We start from the raw sequence: 3,994 nt of genomic DNA on the forward strand, positions 1-3,994 counted from the left end.
AATATGACTGTGAAAATTGAAGCAAAACTGGGTTTCCTGTTAGGGACGATTACAAAGATGAAGAAATAGAAGAAAACAGACAGTAGAAAACATTTAGCATCAAAAAAGAATGACCATCTAAGTCAGTGTCAATTGAGTCAATTGAACCTCTACTGGGCAGGATGGAATTTACATGTGTTTAGACAAGAATTATTTTGCATTGCTATCAGTTACTCTCCATTTAGAGTTGTAGAATAGCTTCTGTAGAATCATAATCAGATAACCCAGAGAGAGATTCTGGAGTCTAGATAATACATAGCTCTCTACTGAGGCATACGTTTTTTTCTCATGGTGGCAGTGTCCAGTGAAGACCTGGTTTAGAAGTTTTTCTGTTGCTTTTGGTGTATTAGTTTCTAACATTACAAAGAAAATCCCCTTTGTTTGTGTGGGAAAAAATTATGGAATATGAGGGAGATGTATTTAGATGTATGACTGGTGAGAGGGTAAGGAGACAGAGAAAGAGAACAAAAGTAATAGGAAATCAGGAGGGACCAGCTACACTTAACAGGTTCTGGTGTTAGACTCTCAAGGTCCAGACAAAAACACCACTGTATATAAACCAGTTAAAACCCATAGGTGAGCAAATGGTTTCAAAGCTCCTCTTCACACAACAATGCTCTGTAAATTTTCCCATGAATCCAGATGTCATGGGAAGGACAAAGGGTGAAGAAATCCTCCTAAAGCAAGAAAAACAGCCCTGTTAGGAAGATTAAAGTTTGAATTAAATAGTTTCCCAATGTGACTAAGAGAGGAAATTTATGAACTAAAAGAGGACTAATTTCTTTGAATTACCAAGTTTAAGCTATTTCTTCTATCATCATAAGGAGTCGGGTATCAAGAGCAAAATAAGATCAGTTATAAATATTATGAGATGCCACTAAAATACATTTCAGACATGTTTACATTTTGATCTTCCCATTGTACATCCCAGAGACATAAAAGTACATCTTCCATAATTTTTTTCGTACCAGAAAATACTGAGAAGTTGTAAACAATGGGTATTTTTTCCTCTCCAGTATGTTGGAGTTGGTTAGTGATTTTATTGAGACTGCACTAGAGACTAAAATATTCTATAATTTTATATGCACCTCATCGTTACTGTTAATTTTTTGCATCATTATTTTATAGACACCATCCTAAACACATTTATTGATTTCAATATTTATTCAGTGATTCTCAAAGGAATGTTCAAGGTAGACAGTCATATTTGCAAATAATAATGCTTTTTTGTCAATATTTGTGCTTGCTATGTCTTAAATTTCAGAACAACAGTAGATAATACTGCTGTGTTTAGGTCAATTTCTTTGTTTCTTTTTTATTCCAATGAAAAAGTCTTGGGTTTCACCTTTGACTTAACATTGAGTATCATGTTAGTTGCTTTTTTGGTATTAATATTATTTGGCACATCTTAGATATTACCTTTGACTTACCTAAAGCTGTAAAAAGTCAAAAGGGAATGCTGAGTTTTTCTTCTTGACTTATAAAAGCAATGAATTATATTGATAATGTTTATGATATTGAACCATTCGTACTTCTGAAACAAAACTGCTTTGGTCACAGTGTATTGTACTTTAACAGAGTGCTGTACTCTATTTGCTATTTTGATTTTGATTTCTTTGCCATTATGTTTTATAGCATTGAGGTCAGTAAATATAAACTGTACAACTTCTATACTTTAAAATGTACTGAAGTTTGCTTTATGGCTGAGTTTGTGAACTATTTGTGTAAATATTTCATTGACATTTGAATAGAGTATAAGTGTGATATGTAGAGGGTATATAATTTAATGTAGATATGCCTATTAAATTTAATTCAAAGTGTTACTATTCTAGGCATCTAATTTTTTTTATTTCTCTTAATTTGTCAAAAGCCAAGAGTTGTAGGTCACAGTTTTCTCATATGATGATGGTGATATAAGAGTGAAGAAGAAATTATCTAGGCCGACAGTGAGGGTAAGGAAGTCCTTGGTAAGGTTTTCCTTTTAATGAAAAGCAGCCTCCCAGTCATTTTCTTTTCAACGAAGAGTAGCCTGTAAAACTGAGCTGCAGACTTAGACAAGCAAGCTGGTAGCTTGCAAAGGTGAATGGTGGCAGTTGTGCCAACAGGAAAAGGCTACCTGGGACTAGGCATATTCAAAACAGTAGCTCTATGTTCCCTTCTCTTTGCCAGCCACGTGTACAGTAAGGAGCAGACAACATCGCTGGCTGCCAAGTGGAAAGTCCATTTGCATAACAAGATTAGGGTGGGGCGGCCAGCCTTCCCTATGTGCTCTGTAAATGTCACACCAGGTCCAACCAATCTGTGGGCCCTAGTAAATCAGACACTGCCTCCTCAAGCCTGTCTATAAAATCCGGTGCACTTCCCCATGGGCCAGATTTCTCTTTCAGGTGCCCCTCTCTTTCACAAGAGAGAGAGAGCTATTCTCCTTTCTTTTTCTTTTGCCTATTAAACCTCCACTCCTAAACTCATTTCTTATGTGTGTTCATGTCCTTAATCTGCTTGGTGCGAGACAGCGAGCTCCGTGTATTTACCCCAGGCAATGATGCCACTTCAATGGTTTTTTCAGTTTCCTTTTGACTACTCAGACATTTACTAAACTTCTGCTGTACCTCTAGGCTTTTCTTTCCACTTTAGCATGCTGTTTATATTTATGTCTGGCTGTCTGATATTTTTCTTTCCCTTAGTGTACCTAGGACATTGCTGTACTCACATTACTCAATAGATACTCATTGGTTGATTTTGTTATTTTCCCCAAGAAATATTCTAGAGAGCAATCTGCTGAACTGATTTCAAGTTTAATATTTCATCCATTCCAGGATTATTCATATAAGTTATGCCTCACTCTATTGTCATTATAATTTACCTATTTCAATAAGACATCTCTTATTCAAACTGTCAAAACCAAAATTAGATCGAATGGGAAGAAATTTAAAAGTGTATCATGCATACAAAGGAACATTTCACCAACCACAAGGACTTACCAAAAGTGGTAAGCCCCACTCACAGCAGTTACAGCACAATTTTTTGAAGCATAAAGGAGGAAGTATTTTGACCTTTCTTGTGATTGACTATTATATATTAATATTCTTTGTAAGGCAAGCAAAGCTGTTTAATCTGATTTGTCTATAGCTGATTAGTTTAATTTCATTGAATCATGCTAACAAGGATGTAAAGCTGACAGTTTTTGTTTCTTTTATGATTACAGCTAGTGTTTCAGGGAACTCAAGATAACTTTTGACTACATGGCTATGTGCTGTTGGTCTTGGAATATATCTATAGGGGGACCTCAGTTTTTATTTAATACCACCAACACAAATCCTTAGTTACTGATTAATTAATAGACTGAAGAAAATTTTTCAGTATGGTGGTTCCTAATAAATTACTTTTGTATTTGCAGTTGGATTCTGCACAAAAATTGCTGTGGCAAGAATTTCTCTAGGTTCTCTGAAAAGCAAAGCAAACCAATAATGCTCAGAATTTATCATCCACTTTATTCCTTTCGCTAACATTTGTCCTTCCTTCAGCATCAGTATTCTTTCCAAGAAATTGTATTTTGCAAAACCTAGTATGAATGGTAAATTCTTGAGTGGAGCTACTGTTAAAAATAATTTCCCGTTAACTGTTAATAAGTATTAGCAGTGGCTCAATGCTGTAGTGACCTAATTTAAACAGAATCAAAGCGAGCTGTGCTAAAGGGCATGAGACAGTGGAATCTTTTCCCACTTCCTCTTTCTTGTGTCTTAATCAGGAATTAGCATGAAGAGAGTTGTCCTTTGTCTGAGGCTGGGTAGCTTTGTGTGCATTATGAATCTCCTAGTTTCACCAGTCAAAAGCTTTTATTTGATAGTGTCTGTTTTCTCACATTCTATATTTGTCTTTATCACCAAGAGAAAGTCTTCATGATTAATGTTTTGCTTGTGGCTGGTTACAACTACCATGAGAGATAATGGGAAGG

The 3,994-nt window shown here is 35.5% G+C and overlaps 1 annotated feature.

Annotated features, from left to right (window-relative positions):
- Positions 2,485 to 2,534: an enhancer, noted in NCBI's record as "active region_16094". NCBI's record gives its function as "activates an Ori minimal core promoter by ATAC-STARR-seq in GM12878 lymphoblastoid cells {active_cell/tissue: GM12878}" and the evidence as "EXISTENCE:reporter gene assay evidence [ECO:0000049][PMID:35858748]".

The sequence above is a fragment of the Homo sapiens genome, chromosome 2 (genome assembly GCF_000001405.40).
Source record: "Homo sapiens chromosome 2, GRCh38.p14 Primary Assembly".
In the NCBI taxonomy this organism is placed as follows: Eukaryota; Metazoa; Chordata; class Mammalia; order Primates; family Hominidae; genus Homo; species Homo sapiens.